Genomic DNA, 17,030 nt, shown 5'->3' with positions numbered 1-17,030 from the left:
GGTCGGGGCATGTCCCGGCCCACTGGTGGTAGAGGGGGGCCTCAGATCTCCATCAAGTTGCAGCTCCAGCCCCCCAGCCCACTGCTGCATGGGAACCAGACCCTGACCCGGCACAGCTGCTCAGTTCTGAGCTGCGTCTCCTGGGGCAGTGAGACCCCAGACCCTAAAGTGGCCCTTGGGAGTCTTGTAGATTCTGGCGGGCAGCCAACAGGTCACGTGGCCAGGCCCAGCTCCCCTCTGTGGTGGAGAAGCAGGACCCAATGTTTCTCGGGCTGTCCTGGAACCCTCTCCAATCTGAAGCCCTCTCCAGGGCCCGCAAACTGTCCAGATTCGGGGCGGCGCTCTGTCCCGACTGCACACCTGCTGCCACCAGATGTCCGTCTGTCCAGCACTGCTCCCTCCACACCTGGTGGACACGGGGCCCGCCCTGCTTACTGTTGCCTCTTCTGCCCCCACAGCCTGGAAGTGTCTGAGGGTGCCTTGGCCCCCTGGGGCCACCAAACCTCCCCACCACCTGTGGCTCCACGAAGGCAGCTGGACAAGTGGAGACTGAGGCGGGCACAGGGAGAAAGGAGTAACAGAGAAAAACGAGGTGCGAAAGGATGGGAAGCAGTGTGGGGGCAGCGAGGGAGGGGCTGCAGGGAAGGCCAAGAGCATGCAGCCATGGGCTCAGCCCGGGACCTGCAGCAGCCTGTGGGAGGGGCGCCCGCCCAGGAACAGGAGCACGTCACCCGGGAAGCCCCTTGGCTGGCTCAGGAGAACCTTCCAGAAGCCTGCGCTGGCCCAGAGGCAGCGTCTCTCAGGCCTTAATAGGAAAACTCTGTGGTTGCTGTGTACCCAACCCAATCAGCGTGGAAACGGCCCGGAGGTGATGATGACAGGATGGGCTCAGCCACCGACAGCCCAGAACTAATAAAAGAAAAGGAAAATCGGATATAAGTCTGGTTCTTATTAAAAGGGTAAATTTAGCCCTTTGGCTAGGGCGGGGGGGGGGTGGCCGACGCTCCCCATGGCGTCCCTCCTCGGTCTCCCTCCCCTGAGAGCTCTGTGCCAAGTGACTCAGAGCAGCCATGGTGGGGACTGAGGGTGGGGCACAGGCAGGCTCCCTCTCTGCTTCTCCAATTCTTCACACCTTCTCCCATGTCTCTCACCCGCTCTCCTGGGCAGGCGGGTGGCCAGGACCTCCCCTTGCCCCTAAGACACTCTGGAGGGCTGTGGGGCGGTCGGCCAGGGGCGTGGGAATGCAACCAGGGTGGTCAGCGCCACTCCCTCGGCGCCGCCCCCCGCAGCTGGATGAGTCTCCTCGCCCCAAACTGAACGCTTCCCATCCCACCATCTTGAGACAGCCAGCTGCGGGGAGACGGACACCCCGGTGAAGATGTCAGGGGCACACGCACGCACACCCCAGCCCAGGAATCCACCCTGGCCCTCGGGTCCCTGCAGAGCAAGGGAGGCCACGTGGACACCCACCTGCCCTCCTACACTCCGGCCTCTCAACCGGAGCCCCCACCCCCTGCCCTGACCCTGGACATGTCCAGTCTAGCTGTGGACATGCAGGGGACAACACGGCAACGGATGGGGGTGCAAGGCCTCCCTGGGCACAGCAGCCATAGGATGAGCCCCGACAGAGCCGGGCTGTAGGGAGACTCTAGTGCTCTTGGCCCTGTGTCCACATAGCCATGTGGCCCTGCTGGCCAGCCTCTCCCATCCTCCAAGTGGACCAGCCACAGGCTGCGAGCGTGCTCCTAACTCCTGCCACCTGGCCCAAACAGGCGACGTCAATGACACAGGCTCCATGCCAGAGCAGCTGAAGAAAGGTGGGCGGAGGCAGGTGCAGGCTCGGGATGGCCAGGGGGGCAGGCTCTCACCCTCCTGTGTGCTCACCCATCCTTGTGGACATGTACATGTGCATACACCCATCCTCATGGACACACACACGTACATACGCGCATACACCATCCTCACGGACACACACACACGCACATACACCCATCCTCATGTACACACAAACACGCACACACCCATCCTCATGGACACACACGCACACATGCACACACCCATCCTCATGGACACACACACACACACACACCCTCAATGGACACACACACACGCACATACACCCACCCTCATGGACACACATACACGTACACACGCGCATACACCCATCCTCATGGACACACGCATAGACCCACCCTCATGGACACACACACACCCATCCTCATGGACACACACGCATACACCCACCCTCATGGACACACACATATGCACATACACCCACCCTCATGGACACACACACGTACACACACGCATACACCCACCCTCATGGACACACATACACGTACACACGCGCATACACCCACCCTCATGGACACATGCACACACGCACATACACCCATCCTCATGGACACACGCATAGACCCACCCTCATGGACACACACACACCCATCCTCATGGACACACACGCACACACGCACATACACCCATCCTCATGGACACACACGCACACATGCGCATACACCCATCCTCATGGACACACACACACGCGCATACACCCATCCTCATGGACACACGCACACGCACACATTGTTTCCCAGCCTGGCCTGCCTGGAGGTGTGAGGCCCATGGTCTCCCTGGCAGGGTGGGGCGCTCTGCCCACAGCCATCCTGGGCCGTCCTCGATGGTTCTGTGGGTAGTTGCAGCCCCCAGAGCTGGGGTCCCCGCACCCAGGTGAGAGAAACTATGGTCTGTGTCAGTCAGCTTAAGCAGGGCTGGGGGGTAGGTCAGGGAGCAGGGACAGCTTCGCACGCTGTGATCACCACATCCAGCATGGAGGTGGCTATGTTGGCCGGGAGAGCTCCACCTCCCACCGAGGGGACTCAGGTCACTCCTGCCCCTGGTGCTAAGAAGGACCAGGTGCCAAGAGCCCGACTCCCAAAACGAGGTTGGCTCAGGCTGTAGTATCCCAGGAAGGGGCTGGGGCCAGCACAGGTCACTGCAGGCTGAAAGGGCAGGGACCGGCCCCCACTAAAGTGCCATTTTCTGTTATTTCCCAGCCAACTGCTTTTGGTACAGCTGGCTCCAACCACATGGGGCCTCGCGCTCGCGTTACCCTTCCAGGGGGACGTATGCCCCCTGCCAAACTCTGTGTCTCAAGGCGTGGTTCACACCCAGCCACCTTCAAAAAGCCCAGCCTGCCCTCCTTCACAACGAAGGTCCCCCTTGGAACTCCCCTCCAGGCAGCACCCTGCTGCGACCCCAAGAGGCTGAGCACACCTGTCCCCTGCTGTGTGGCACCGAGCCAGGCATGGGCAAACCCAGGGTCCAGGAAGATGGGTGGAGGAGAGGAAGGAACCAGGAAGCTGCCAGCGGACGGGTCTCAGAGGGTGGGGGTCACACGGCCAGGTGCCCTCCTCCAGCTCCCTCGCCCGGGCCCGTCCCCAGCCCCCCGCGCAGCATCTGGTGGCCCTGGAAGAGGGGCCGGGGCGGGAAGGGCAGAGCTCCAATGGGAACCAGGGGGCAAACGTGCAGAGTGCACGGCTGCTGGCGAGGACAGTACGCCGGGGCGGGTAACAGCTGCTGGCGAGGATAGTACACCGTGGCGGGTAATGGCCAGTCGGGTGGGGATGCGACAGGCCGGGGTGGGAGACGGAGACCACACCGGGATCCAGGGAACACACAGGACTTCTCAGCGCAGCGTGGCAGCGATCAGGGGAGTGGGCACGGCTGGGCCCAGGGGGTGCCTGCCGCCTCCGCCCCCAGCCTCACCCCGTCCCGGGGCCTTGGGGTTGGGGACACGTGGTGAGGCTGTGACGAACCCCGGGGAACCTCGGTCCCTCCTGCCCCCGACGGCCACACCAGGCCCTCCCGACGGCCAGCGCTCCTGCCGCACGGACCCACGTCCTCACGACACACACGTTCATCTTATTCATCTTACTTTTCACCTCAGCCTCTGAGGTAAAAACTCGGCGTTCCTAGGAACTCTGCAGGGGAGCGGGCGAGGTGGGTGGCTCAGGCAGGGACCTCTGGGATGGGGTAGATGGGGCTGGCCGAGGGGGTTTGGGGCCCAGACGGGAGGTCCGAGGGAGAAAAGGCCCTGGTGAGGTCCGGCAGCTCCTAGTGCCCTCAGCACCCAACCCCACAGCCCGAGCTCCGCCTCTGTGGGGTCCGGGCCGTGATGCTGGCCGCCTGCATGCCCTGCCGGCCTCACGGACCACTGGGAGAACCAGCGCCCTCCTGAGCCTCTGCTGCCCAGACAAGACCTGCCCCAGAGGCCAGGGCGCCAGGCATTGGCCCTCGCTGAAGGAGGTGCCCCCACACCGTTGCCCCTGCCCCAGCACAGGTCCTGCCATGGGAGGAGCCGCTCTGCTGCCAAGGCGGACATCGAGGGGGCCACGGCTGGTCCTGGGCAGGTGGCTTGGGCTGCTGTGCGGGGGCTCCTTGGCACGGGTCAGGGCTCAGAAGGCACCCCCACAGCTTCAGAGGAGAGTCTAGAGACACGCTCAGACCACATGGATCCAGCAGGCCAGGTCCAGGGCCAGCTCCCCATCCCAAGGGCACCCAGGTGGGCTGCCAGCGTCAGCTCAAGGTGGGCTGGGGGAGCCCCCGGGGTGGCTGACGCACCTGCGGACCCCACCCAGGCAGGCAGCTGATGCAGAAACGGAAGGAGAAAGCGCTGCCCAGACCAGAGGACACAGCCGCCCCAGCACCCCATAGCGAGCCCTGCGCCCCATCCAGAGAAGGACACCTTAACCCGGCTGGTACACGAACAGTTGCTGAGTGCCCATGACAGGCCAGGGTCACGCACCCGCGCCCTGAGCCCAGCCTGGAGTGCAGGGAAGCCACAGGTGGTCCGAGCGGGCTGCCTCCCGCATGGGCCCTGGGACCTTGCTGCAGCCCCCGCGGCCTTGTGGCTGCTTCGGGGTCTGCTCACTCCACCAAGGCAGGACGTCTGGGAACGGACCTCCCACAGGTGCTGAGACGATACTGCACCTGCGTGGACAGCACTGCCCTGGCTGGGGTGGGGACGGTCCACGGGTATCCAGGGGCCCGCTGCTGCGGAGGGGACAGCCCAGAGTGGAGGCGGTGGTGTGGTGTGGGGGGAAGACAGAAGGGGGAGGAAGAGGGGTGAGGGACGAACAGGGCCAGCCTCGCCTCAGATGTCCAGGACCAGGCTGGCACGGGGGTGCAGAGGCTGAGAAGGAGCGAGGCTTCCAGTGAGCCCGGGGCTTACGCTTGGCCAAGTCACAGGGAAGGAGGCCGAGGGCATGGGGCAGAGGAAAGGCACAAACCCCCGAGGGCAGGTCTCCCCCAGCCAGCAGCGAGCGCCCGGGGGGGGCATGGTCAGCACAGGGGAGGCAGCCACAGCCACGGGTGGGGTCCCGACGGCCCACTCTGGGGTTGGGGAGCGTATGGCTGCTGTGGGGGGCCTCAGAGAAGGCCCTGATAACCCTGGACCCTGGTGTTCACCTTTATGTAATTGGCGCTTGGTGTGGGCGGGACCTGGACTCGTTTCTAGAAAGAGGATGTGGAGGAAGTGACACCCACCCACTGCCCCCGCAAGGTGAGGCCGCACCCGCACCGAGCTTCCGTCCTGCGCTCTCTCACTCTCTCCTTCCAGCCAGCAGCCGGCAACACTCCCACACCCACGACAGCCGGAGGGTGGCCTCTGGAGGGGACTCCCCACAGCTGGGTCTGGATATGTCCGAGGCCCCAGCCAACACCTGGCCCTGAGTCAGATTCCCGACTCACAGAAGCTGTGAAATAATCAATGTTCGCTGTTTTAAGCTACCCAGTTGTGAGATCATGTGGGAGAGAGCCCCAGCTACTCATGCAGGGAAGAGACAGAGCCACAGGGTGGGGCGGGGGGCGCGGACGGGGAAAGAGCCCCCGGGAAGGTACGGGAAGGGCCAGGAGGGAGAGTCGGTGACTCCAGACAGACCTGCCTCGTGCACGAGTCAGCAACGCAGGCTGAAGCGTGGTGGCTGCTCCCTGCCCTGGCCGACGGGCCCCAAGGGGTCTCTGACCCCCAGCCGCCTCCCACCTGAGGCCCTCCAGACTTAGGCACTTTGGATTTCTGCTAAGTATTTACCATCAAACTCTCAACTTGTTAGAAGGATGGCATGGCCTCACATACACTTTTTGAATTTTCTTTGATTTTATCTGTATTTACACACACTAAGGGCTTTTTAAGAGTTAGCCCAAAAATGCATTACAATTTAAGTTAATTTTGGTATTCAATTAAAATAAATTAAAAGTTTATTTTTAGGACACCCAAAGGGATATGAAAACTCTCAGAGAGGGGACTGGCTTCCAGGAAAACTGCCCACAAGGCGACCTGCTGGCCTGGAGTGACCAGGGCCCACGGCAGGGCTGGCCGGATGGGGTAGCTGTCCCACTACGGAGATCCGGAGGATCCTGGGGGACCACAGAGCTGGGCTCTTTCCTGCCACTCCACAGCCAGCTCACCGGCCAGGGACGGGGGACCTGCCATCAGGCCTCCTGGGGGTCACCAGCTGAAGCCAGAAACCAGGAGGCCACGGGGCCCTGGTCCTGCCCTAATCGTGGCCACACTTGAGTCCCTGTGCGCCTGTGTGTCTCGCTGAATGCAAATGCTTCCTGTGGCAAAGCTACCCTCGGATGCAGGGATACGATGGTAAGCGCTGAGCTGGAGGGAAGAGTGACCAGGGTGTGGAGGGGCAGGGGCCGGGGCGGTGAGGGGCTTGTCGGGAACGACCTTGCTGAGGCGTGCAGGTGTGGGTAGAGGCAAAGGCCCAGAGACCCAGGGAGGCTGGGTTGGGGCCCCCAGAGCTCAAGGACTATGCTGAGGCCTCCCTGGCAGGGTGGGCTGGGCAGAGTGGAAGGGGAGCTGCCTGGAGGGCCTCAGGTCTGGAATGCCCCAAACCTGACCACCCCACACCCTCTTCGGGTGGCCAGCAGCTCACCCGTCTTCGTGGGTGCTGGGTAGAGAGGCCTCTCAAGGAAGGAAGGAAGGAAGGAAGGAAGGAAGGAAGGAAGGAAGGAAGGAAGGAAGGAAGGCAGGCAGGCAGGCAGGCAGGCAGGCAGGCAGGCAGGCAGGGGTGGGGCTGGCTGACGACCTCAAGGACCCTGTTCCCCCCCAACCCCACCCTCCCTGATCAATTTGAATGCAGTGGAGGATGGAGCCAGCAGTGCTCCCACCCACAGGGCACCGGTGCCTCCCGTCTCTCCAGCCTCACTCTCAGGGGCCTGGGCTGACGGCACGTCCAGCTCCTGCTGCCTGTCTGGGGTCAGGGTTTGGGAGCTGCCGAGAAGGGGAGCTGCTCAACTGGGGGTGGCGAGTCCTCCTGGGGCCCCACTGGGCATGCCCAGGTGGCGCAGACCCTCGGCCTCAGCCTGGGGCAGAGACAGGACACAGGCACCTGCAGGCACGTGATGAATGGACTCACGCAGAGGACGGCTGCGGGACTGAGAACAAGGGAGCGTGACCCCAGAGAGAGGGACCCCTCAGGCCCGAGGGGAGGCGCACGGGGGCCCCAGGCCTTCACACAGACATATGGACAACAAAGACCCAGGTGCGGCTCCGAAGCCCTCCTTTCATGGGAGGGACCTAGAGAGGTCTGAGACCCGCCCTGGGGGAGCAGAGTGTTTGATGAGCGGCCATCCCCACCCCTGGACTCCGGGGAAGCATAGCCTGCTTCATTGTCCCCCAACCCCAGGCAGAGAGCCCCCACCCCCGCCCCGAGACTGGGGGGATACGGGGACATCTTTGCTCTTCCAGCTCTGTGGTCCCATCCCACATGATCTGCTGGTGTCTCCCCTGGGCCAGTCCCCCTCTGCCACTGGGAAGCTCTCTGAAGTCCCAGAGCCCAGTAGACCCGGAAGGCCACGAAGGCCCCCCAGCACCTGGGCCCCACCTGGGGGTCCAGAGCGTCTGCACTGCCCGTGGTGCCAGGACCCGTGGTGCCAGGACCCGTGGTGCCTCGACCCGTGGTGCCTCAGAGCAGGTCCACATCTGCCCATCCCAGTCACATCCAACGCCCCAGGACATGCTGGAGGGTGGGCGTCCACCTTCACACCAAAACCATGCAAGCCCCTGCACAGGTAGGGGTAAGTGGGGCAGCTGGACCCCCGTGCCAGGGCACAGGAGCCAAGGGCCCAGGTTTCCTAGTTCTACGGCCAGACTAAGGCCTCAAGGCCACAGAATCCCTCGATGGACACAGAGGAGAGGGCCTGGGCCTGAGGCATGAGGTGGGCCCTCAGGAGTCTCGCTGCCTGCTGCCCAGGGGGGAGGCCCCACCAAGGGTCCCAGGTACAGCCGCCTCCTCCCCAGGCCTCTGAGTCTCCGCCAGGGAAGGGGCGTGCACAGGCCATGTGCCTCCGGCAGCTCGTGCAGGCTCCTAGGACCCCCACAGGTGACACGGACGGCCACAGTGCTCCTGGGAGGGCACCGGGGCCACAACTGCATCCCCCAGTCCCACTCAACCCTCCAGCAGGGCAGGGCAACTGCCCATTTTAGAGGTAGGAGGCCTAGACTCAGGGAGGGAAGAGCAGGGGCCACCGATCCCCACCTTAGGCCGGGGCAGCTGCAGCCAAGGTGGCTTGGCAGGGCCCCATTACACACGCTCCCCTCAGCTCGGGCAGGCGCTGAGGCCAGGTGCTCTCCCGGGCCTGAAGACTGGAAGGCAAAACCCACAATGTGAAGGGCCTGAGGCAGCGCTGTTGCCTGGTGACATGAGTCCCAGGGCCATGGTCTCCCCCTCGCTGGCACAGCCCAGCCTGCTGGGGAGGTGCTTGCAGGGCCGGCCTGTGGATGGAGACGTCGCAGAGGGTGAGGCAGCTGATTCACACCCGGCCTTCTCCCTGGGCCCGATTTCCCTCTGGTCAGTGGCAAGGGGAGCAGGCCCTTGGGCGGGGAGAGGCAGCCCTCCCCAGGTGTCCCTCCTCACCCACTAGTGCTCTATGACCCAGATGAAGCCACTGGCTCTTGCTCCCAATCCTAGCTGCACCCCCGCGACCCCGCGTGGACAATCAGGGAGTCGCCTCACAGCCCCAGCCAGGGCCACGAGGTGAAAAGGAACTGGCCCCCACCCTGAGCCCGCTCCTGGCCCTCCAGAACCCTCCTTCACAGCTGTGGGCTGCCTCCCTCCATTCACACGCACTTCCCCCCTTCCCCAGGCCACTCAGCCGGCGCAGCTCCAGCCTTCGGGGGACAGGAGCCCCACCCCCACTTCTGTCTCCCACCACCTCGTGTGGCGCTAATCAGGAGAGGACAGCGCCATCTGCCAATCCCCTGGGCTCTGACACCCTTTAAGGTGTAGCGCACACAGCCTCAGGAGCCGCCATGACAACTGAAGATGCTACACGAAGGCCAGGGGATGCTGCCATGTCCCCCAGGCAGGTGCCCACGCAGCCTGTGGCCCCACGCCATGGTCCAGTGTGGGGGGAACACCTTGATTTTTAATAAAGAGACCAGAGACCCTGGCTGGGTCTCTCACCACTGCCACCTCCTAACTTAGTTTTCCCAGAGTTAATCGTTCATCTTTTCCGGTGTGGGGGTGAAATCCTAGGGGAAAAGCAGAGCTCTTCACACCCACACACGCGTGCCTGTGCGCGTCACCTGAGCGTGGATGGGCACTTATGCACTGGGGCAGGAGACGGAGGCCAGTGTGGCTCAGCCCAGCTCTGGGGATAGGAAGGGACAGAAGGACATTTCCACCCCCAGACTCAGGAGCCTGCAGTCTCCCAGGAAAGGTGGCTGATATCAGGGGAAAGGCACTGGCCCCAAACAAGCCAGCCAGGGGGGCTGGGCAGGGGCTGCTGCCAGGCTCTGTGGGACAGACCCAGGTGGGTGGTCAGGGCTGGGAGGTCATAGAAGGGGACAAGAAGGGCTGCAGGCCAAGAACAGCTCAGCTGGTGTGGGGCATGGAGGAAAGGAGAGGTGGGCATGGAGCAGTCGGGGACCCCTCTCCACTTAGGCAGAGTCACACGGGGGCTCTGAGAGGATGTGACGCCGGGATCAGAACTCCAGGGTGGCAGGGGCAGGCACTGGGGATTGTAGAAGCTGCCCAAGTAAAGGGCCAGGCAGGGGTAGGCCCCAGGAGGGGCAGGGCACGGTGGGCAGAGACGGTACTGAGGGCAGCTGAGAGGTGGGGGTGCAGGGTGGGAGCCTGGGGGGTGGGAGGCAGGTGGGGCCTGGGGTAGCCGAGCATCTAGGAACCTCTAGGACCCCAGGCGCAGAGGCCTGGGGTGGAGGTGGCCACACAGGACAGGAAGCAGTGCCCCATGCAGGCAGCGGCTTCCAGGACAACCAGACAGCCTCAGGGCAGGCCCGGGACCAGACCTGGCCCCGAGGCATTCGCCACGCACTGGAATTGATCTTGACGGGAATGTCCTCCTCCTGCCGAGCAAGAGCTCAGGAAAGGGCAAGGCCAAGTTCAGCTGGAGCCCGAGGACACGGTCCACAGCCACACAGGGGCAGCAGGAGGAAGGGGGCCGGGGAAGGCGCTGAAGGGAGGCTGAGCCACAGAGGGTCATGTGGATCTGGGGCTCTGCTCCCTCCTGCAGGTGGCCAGGAACCAGGAGCCAGGAGACGGAGGATGGAGCAGTTGGGGAGGACGTAGGGGGCAGACAGGTGCCCGTGCCAGTCACTAAGCAACCTGGCTTTCCCAGGGGCCACTGGAGTGGGACTCCTTGTGGGCCAGTTGTGAACAGTGTGAGTGTGTGTGTGCAGGTGAACACCTGCCTCATGGTGTGAGCACACAGGAGCAGGTGTATGTTGCCACATCTGTGAGTGTGAGCAGCTGTGAGCTTGGTCAGTGAACCTGTGGCTAGACCCCGCTGGGATATCCTTACTGGGGTCTGCAGAGTGGGCCTCACCCAAGAGGGGGCCACAGCTCTACGTCCACAGAGCCAGGAAACCCCTGCCAGGCGGCAATGTCTGTTCATGCCTGAGAGGGGACCTGCCCCACAGCGCAGCCCCTTCTCCCACCCACCATGGCACCCCCATCCTGGGCTCAGGTCTCTTGGGTCTCCGGTCTGGGCATCCCCCATCTCTTCTTCCCTGGATCTGCTCACTCTCACCCATGCCATGTGTTAAGAACAGGAGGCGCCCCTGGTTGCAGAAGTCTCAGGGGAAGAAAGCAAAGCTTCAACTGTGCTCCAAGGACCGGAGAGAGAGGGAGTCGCACTGAGACCCGACTTCCCTTGAAGACGCCAGCAGGCTGGTTTCTTTCTTACTTAATATGGCTAAGGCTTCTCTTTTTTGGTGGGGTACCCCAAGAAGGCACTGCCCCCCAATGTCACCCTCCGCTTCAGGGAGCCCAGCCTGCTGCTCAGAGGACCCTATTGGAAGCACACCCATCCCCCATTTCTGGAAATTTCCACTGGAAAACCATGTCCCTGCACTGAGCTGGGGCAAGGGGCTGCTCTGCCGTTCCTCACAGTTGCAAGTGACAGTGGGTCTCCCACAGACCCCGGAGAGGGGCAGCACTTCCGGCCAGCCTCAGAGTCCCCGCATCTCAAGACACTGGACTTTTTCTTGGGGGATCCTAGGGGAGAGAAGGGAAGGCAGGAACCCAGCCCACCTGTTTGTCCCTCCCTTCCTCGCCACAGCAGGTCAGAATGAAAAAAACCCACTTCCTGGCTGATCCGATCGGGAACCTAATCGTGTGGACAGCTGCAGCATGCCAGCCCGGCTGGCTCCCAGCTTGGGCGCTGGACGCCTCCCCACCAGACCCGAGGCTCGCTGCAAACCCCGCGCCGACCTCATAACCAGGACCTGGGCGCCGCCTGCCCCCAGCGCCTGCCACCACATCCCCTCAGCGCACACCTAGCGCCCACCATCCCTGGATTCTCCCGCGGCAGCTGCTCTGGGGCCACGGGAGGCAGTAATATTATAGATTACAACAAACAGGGGCAGCCCACTGACAAATAGGCCTGCGTGAGCGAAACGGTATATTATCCCATAAAAACGTCAGCGGGCGGAGCCCGAGCGGAGTGCGGTCCCACGCCCGAGGCCCTTCCAGGCCCCATCCTTTGCAGAAGGGCCTGGGCTGCGGGTGATTTTCCAGACACTGCACGCTGGCTCTGATGTTTTTTTTGCTTGTTACACTGTGTCTTCGGTGAGGGGAAATGAGGTCCCAGAGGTTAATGGGGACCGGGGAACCCCAGGGAAGCCGTTCCCAGGTGGGCGGGGAGCGGGGGCTGGGAGGGGGAATGCAGAGCAAGTAACCCACCTACCCAACAGACAGGGGCGTGCTCTGAGTCCAAGCCCATTCACAGCACGTCTGCGAGGTGGGGGACACAAGGGGAGGCCATCTCCCCTCAAGGAGGCTGTCCAGGAGCCAAGGGTTTCGGACCCTCCCCTGGACAGGCCAGGACGAGCCTGCCTCCCTCCTCAGGGGAACAAGGCAGTGCCTGTCTTGAGGGAGGGCTTCTTTTTGGAAACCTCTCATTCAGGATGAACCCATTAAGAAGGCAGGCAGCTTCTGTTGTTTGAGGGTGTCAGGAGGGCAAGGGGGCACCCCAAAGGCTGGGCGGTATTTTCTCGAGGGACTCCCTAGGCAGAGGCTGGCCCTGCTGCTACCCAGGAGGAGTCCCTGTATCGCTTCCACAGCAGCTGATGGGCAACCAGGCCCCTCTGAGAAGACCACTCCAAAAGAGGGCATATGCCATGTACTGAGCTCAGGGGGTTGGGGGAGACTCTCCGGTGGGGCGTTGGCCAGGACAATCACAGTAGCTGCCTCACAGGATCCAGAGGGCAGAGGACAGAGGACAGGTCCCATTTGTTATGGGCCTATATTCAGGTATTTATGGTAGGGAGGAAGCCAGACCGGGGGGCCCAGAAGCCTCTTCCAGAAGGAAGGGCAGGGGGGCACGATGGAGCAAGGCTTTCTTCCACCAGGAAAGTATTTATTCCCAGCGGCACTGGCTGAACTCTATCTGTGCTTGGGAATTCCCAGCCCAGGGACATGGACAGTCTCGGGCTCAGACCCTGGAGCTAGATCAGGGTATTCTGGGAAATATAGTCCTTTGGGAGTTAGAAGGCCCTGCCAGGATTGGGGGCGGGGGAGGCAGATTGAGTTAAGAAACAGCCAAGGAAGAGGAGGGAGTAAAGGGAGTTACCCTTACTCCAACCCCAGGGTGGATGTTTAAAACTCCTGGGAAGTGGCTATATATAAACATCTGCTGCCTCAAAAGACACCAGAGGCCGGGCACGGTGGCTCACACCTGTAATCCTAGCACTTTGGGAGGCCAAGGTGGGCAGATTGCTTGAGCTCAGGAGCTCAAGACCAGCATGGGAAACATGGTGAAACCCCGTCTCTACTAAAAATACAAAAAATTAGGGCGTGGTGGTACATGCCTGTAATCCCAGCTACTTGGGAGACTGAGGCACGACAATGGCTTGAACCAGGGAGGCAGAGGTTGCAGTGAGGCAGTGAGCCAAGATTGTGCCACTGCACTCCAGCCTGGCAGACAGAGCCAGACTGTCTCAAAAAACAAAAACAAAACAAAAACAAAAACAAAACACACCAGACGATGCTACTATTCTAGCTTCAGATCATATCCACAGTGGCTTTTCTGGTCAAGTAGTTCTGGGGACTCTTATTTTCGTGGGGAGACCTAAAAAGTCCGCAGAGAGGAGGCACCCCAACCAAACCACCCAGGATGAAAGCAGCATTCAGTGATTCCCCACGACTGTTCTCCGGTCCCTGCCTCCAGACACACAGAGAGAAGGAGAACAAAGGTGCCCGCCAGGGGACAGAGGTGCTACCTGCCACGCCTCAGCCTCCAGGAGAGACTGCAGCTGTCCCAAGCGCTCGCACATTATTTATGCTCACAGCCAGCTCTGATGACATATGTAAGTTGACAGCGAACATCCTATCAACTTGCTGGAGTGTATCCTGATTGTTAAAACACTCTTAAAGGTGTACAATCATTTATCAAATTAAAATAGCCGTGCCTTGCCAGTTCTTTTTCTGCCTTCCTGGATGGAACCCCCAATAGTCTCCATCCTCCTCCAGCCTCCTGGGTAATCTGCCCTTGCACCCAGGCCCTGCTTCTCAGGGGACAATGACCCTGCTGCCAGGAGCCCCAGCCTCGGCATCCCCTCCCCACTCTGGCCCAGGCCAGGGCAAGACCACTAATCGCCAAGAAGTGACAAACGCCAGAAGCCCCACCAATTAAATTTAAACTCATGCAAAGCTCAGTGGCTAGTAAATTATTATTTTTATTAGCTTGAACCAAGTTCCCGTAAGAGAGAAAGTCAACTTGCTCCCATGAATGGCTCTTGTATAATTTATTTAACTCTGTGCTCTTTGCCAAAGCCTGGAATATTTTTAGCTCGTTCTGTTGTTGGATTTGGCTTTTTTATGTGTGTTTCTGAGGGGTATTTTTAGCCTCATCCATGTTATTCTAACAGCCTCCTATGCATTTTGTCCTGTCTGTGGGGGCTGTTGAACCCTGTCTCACAGGGAGATGAGAGAAGATTTCTAAGAATAACCGGGGAACGTTTGGGGGGACGCGCGTTTTCCAGGGGAGATGTGCTATTTGCACAACGCCGTTCTCTGCCTGGCTCACTAATTTGCCTTATTACTCACGTGACCTGGATATTCCTACAGAAAGCGCGGCGGCTCCGTACCGGGATAATCAGACGTGGTGGCAGCACGAGCCCCACTGGGGGAAACCCACATTCCAAACAGGGCTTCGGCGGGGCGGGCGTGGCGGGCCACCGCCGCCGGTCCACGCGGCCCCACATTCCCGGATTCCCGTAGCTCCTTTGGGCTCGCGGCAACTTTGATGTCTAACTCTGTCACTTATGGAGCGGGACGGGTGACGTCTTCGGAAAGTAACTCTTTTCACACCTACTTAATGTTGCTAACTGTTGCAGAAACACTCCATCGTGTCATGGAGTTAATGAGGTATTTAAGAAAATGTATTTTTTTCTTTACAAAAAAATATCACATGATGAGGGAGAGGAGCCTGTGATGGGGTCTTTTCACACTAGGAAATTATCTTTTTTTTTCCTCTGCCAAGTTGGGGGTATTTTTTGGTTGTGTTTTTTGGTATTTTCTTTTTCTTTTTTTTTTTTTGAGATTGGCGGTAGGAAGCACTTTTTCAGCAGGAAAGAAGTAGTTTGCAGTTCTCCCACCAGAAGGAGCCTTCGCCTTTCTCCCACAATAACCCCAGGCTCAGAGCACCTGGTTTCCCAGGCTTCAGCAATTTACACCCCAAAGAAGACAAGAGAAGGGGCGGGAGGGGAATCTGAGCAGATTATTGAAACCAAGATGAGAAATAGTGCCTTGGTGGAGCCCTGGCCCCTGGAGAGGGGAGGCGTACAGACCAGGACAGGAGCGGGCCCAGCCAGAAGCCAGGACGGGGGGCTGTCTATGTGGGCCTCTCCCCAGGCCGGGGCTGCCTCGGATCACACACACACTCCCAGCAGAGGCGCCAGCCCCAGTGGCTCCAGGCAGTAGCACTGATGAAAAATCTTGGGTTGGTTCTTGTTGATTTCTCTTTTCTCCCCCCTAGATTTCACAGCTTTGCCTCCGGACCATCTGTATTAGAGACAAAATCTAACACTGAACTAAAAATAATGATTCCAAACATTTTAATTGCACCTTTTGGTGACAAGGTTACTGGAACAGCACTTTACCATAAAACCTGCGGCCCGAGTCTAAAGCTCCCAGCACTTTCATTTTTAGAAAAACAATGGAAGAAGCCTGGGAGCCCCATGTCCCCACCCATCAGGGCCCCTCAGACTGACATTCTGAAAGTGTTGGGTGGGGTTGGGGAAAGGCAGCCCCGGCAGCCAGCAGGAACAGCCTCAGTCCAGCCGGGGTGGCAGTGCCAGGCCAGACAGGCACAGGAAGAGCAGCCCAGCAAAAAGAGGCAGCCTCATGGAGGCCAGGGCCTCCATCCCCGATGGTTGGATTCTACTCCCAGACAGGCGGGAAGAATCCGGGTCAATTTTCCTTTCCAAGGGGCAGTCAGCAGAGGGAGGGGCGGGCTGGCTGCAGCTGTGGCCTGCGGACTGAAGCCATCCAGGAAAATGGGAAGCAAGGCAGCCAAACCAGCCATGTGGAAGTCCGCACACAAGACGCAAAAAAATTGTTTAACGTAATTATGCTTTTTTCTCTCTAAACTAGATCATATATAGACACAGACCAAAGCAAAGTGATCTGGGGTATAATTCTTTTTTTAAAAAAATACATGCAGCTAAATTTTAAAAACCAATACAATATTCTGGCTCTTAACAATTTCAAAAGGCTTTCTTTCAGCTACAGATGCTTCTAGCTGGATGTCTGCATGACCAAGTTGCCCATCACAAATGGGTTGAACATCTCCGAGCACAAGCGTTCTCTTCGGTCCGCAGGGGGGAGGAAATGGGGCCTCCAGGGACGGGGACACATGACCCTTCAGACCCTGAAAGAGGCAGCCCCGAGGGGCCTCCAGCGCCCTCTAGAGCACCCTGCGCTTGGGGAGGCTGGGAGGACCTGGGATCAAGAAGAAGCAGGGAGGACACAGGCCAGGCCAGAGCCCAGAGCCGTTTCTCACAGCCCTCCGGGGCCTACACGCCAAGAACCACGTGGCCAAACTTAGAATGAGCAAGACAAAGGGCTAGGCCACCCGACCAGGCGCCCACCTACCCGGGTGCTGCCTAGACCTGGAAGTAAGGGCAGAAGGGGGAGAATGCAGCTGGCCTGGACCTGGCCAGGATGTGAGCTGGGGCATGGGGTCAGGGAGAGTGCTGACCTGACCTGATGGGGAATTTGGCCTTGCCTCCCGGAGGGGACAGCCCCAGCCTGCCTGTGCACCAACATGCAAGCCTCAGTGTCAGGGGCCCCTGTCTCTGTCGTGCTGTTACTTGCCAGGCTGGAGGGCACGGTACAGTGGAGGTGGGGTGCACACAATCCCCCTACCCCCAGTGGGGGCCACCAGCCTTCAGCCAGAAGAGGGGCTGGTGGGGAGGCTGGCGAGCTGTCCCTTCTGCCAGGGCGGCCCCAGCCTCAGCGCCCCGTGCACCTGAGCCGGGTGGGCAGCAGCTCCCATGC

At 60.5% G+C, this 17,030-nt stretch overlaps 1 protein-coding gene across 5 annotated transcripts in view, besides 7 other annotated features; it reads right to left on the bottom strand.

The window, feature by feature from the left end:
* Positions 1-17,030, bottom strand: part of BAHCC1 (BAH domain and coiled-coil containing 1) — a 70,875-nt gene that overhangs the window by 47,782 nt on the left and 6,063 nt on the right. The window lies entirely within an intron of this gene.
* Positions 745-1,694: an enhancer, noted in NCBI's record as "H3K4me1 hESC enhancer chr17:79390656-79391605 (GRCh37/hg19 assembly coordinates)". NCBI's record gives its function as "activates a minimal SCP1, AML or CMV promoter by ChIP-STARR-seq in naive and primed H9 embryonic stem cells {active_cell/tissue: H9 hESC(naive and primed)}" and the evidence as "EXISTENCE:reporter gene assay evidence [ECO:0000049][PMID:30033119]".
* Positions 4,788-5,489: an enhancer, noted in NCBI's record as "H3K4me1 hESC enhancer chr17:79386861-79387562 (GRCh37/hg19 assembly coordinates)". NCBI's record gives its function as "activates a minimal SCP1, AML or CMV promoter by ChIP-STARR-seq in primed H9 embryonic stem cells {active_cell/tissue: H9 hESC(primed)}" and the evidence as "EXISTENCE:reporter gene assay evidence [ECO:0000049][PMID:30033119]".
* Positions 5,882-6,129: a silencer, noted in NCBI's record as "fragment chr17:79386221-79386468 (GRCh37/hg19 assembly coordinates)". NCBI's record gives its function as "represses an EF-1alpha promoter that drives an FKBP-Casp9 reporter gene in an ReSE screen in phorbol 12-myristate 13-acetate-treated (for megakaryocytic differentiation) K562 erythroleukemia cells {active_cell/tissue: K562(+PMA)}" and the evidence as "EXISTENCE:reporter gene assay evidence [ECO:0000049][PMID:32094911]".
* Positions 9,147-9,441: a silencer, noted in NCBI's record as "tiled region #9433; HepG2 Repressive non-DNase unmatched - State 12:CtcfO". NCBI's record gives its function as "represses a minimal TATA promoter and a strong SV40 promoter by Sharpr-MPRA in HepG2 cells {active_cell/tissue: HepG2}" and the evidence as "EXISTENCE:reporter gene assay evidence [ECO:0000049][PMID:27701403]".
* Positions 12,408-12,962: an enhancer, noted in NCBI's record as "H3K4me1 hESC enhancer chr17:79379388-79379942 (GRCh37/hg19 assembly coordinates)". NCBI's record gives its function as "activates a minimal SCP1, AML or CMV promoter by ChIP-STARR-seq in naive H9 embryonic stem cells {active_cell/tissue: H9 hESC(naive)}" and the evidence as "EXISTENCE:reporter gene assay evidence [ECO:0000049][PMID:30033119]".
* Positions 15,754-16,279: an enhancer, noted in NCBI's record as "H3K4me1 hESC enhancer chr17:79376071-79376596 (GRCh37/hg19 assembly coordinates)". NCBI's record gives its function as "activates a minimal SCP1, AML or CMV promoter by ChIP-STARR-seq in naive H9 embryonic stem cells {active_cell/tissue: H9 hESC(naive)}" and the evidence as "EXISTENCE:reporter gene assay evidence [ECO:0000049][PMID:30033119]".
* Positions 16,579-16,758: an enhancer, noted in NCBI's record as "active region_12963". NCBI's record gives its function as "activates an Ori minimal core promoter by ATAC-STARR-seq in GM12878 lymphoblastoid cells {active_cell/tissue: GM12878}" and the evidence as "EXISTENCE:reporter gene assay evidence [ECO:0000049][PMID:35858748]".

Source organism: Homo sapiens, chromosome 17, assembly GCF_000001405.40.
Source record: "Homo sapiens chromosome 17, GRCh38.p14 Primary Assembly".
Taxonomy (NCBI): Eukaryota; Metazoa; Chordata; class Mammalia; order Primates; family Hominidae; genus Homo; species Homo sapiens.
The sequence above is the reverse complement of the archived record's forward strand: the minus strand, read 5'-3'. Positions and strand labels throughout refer to the sequence as shown.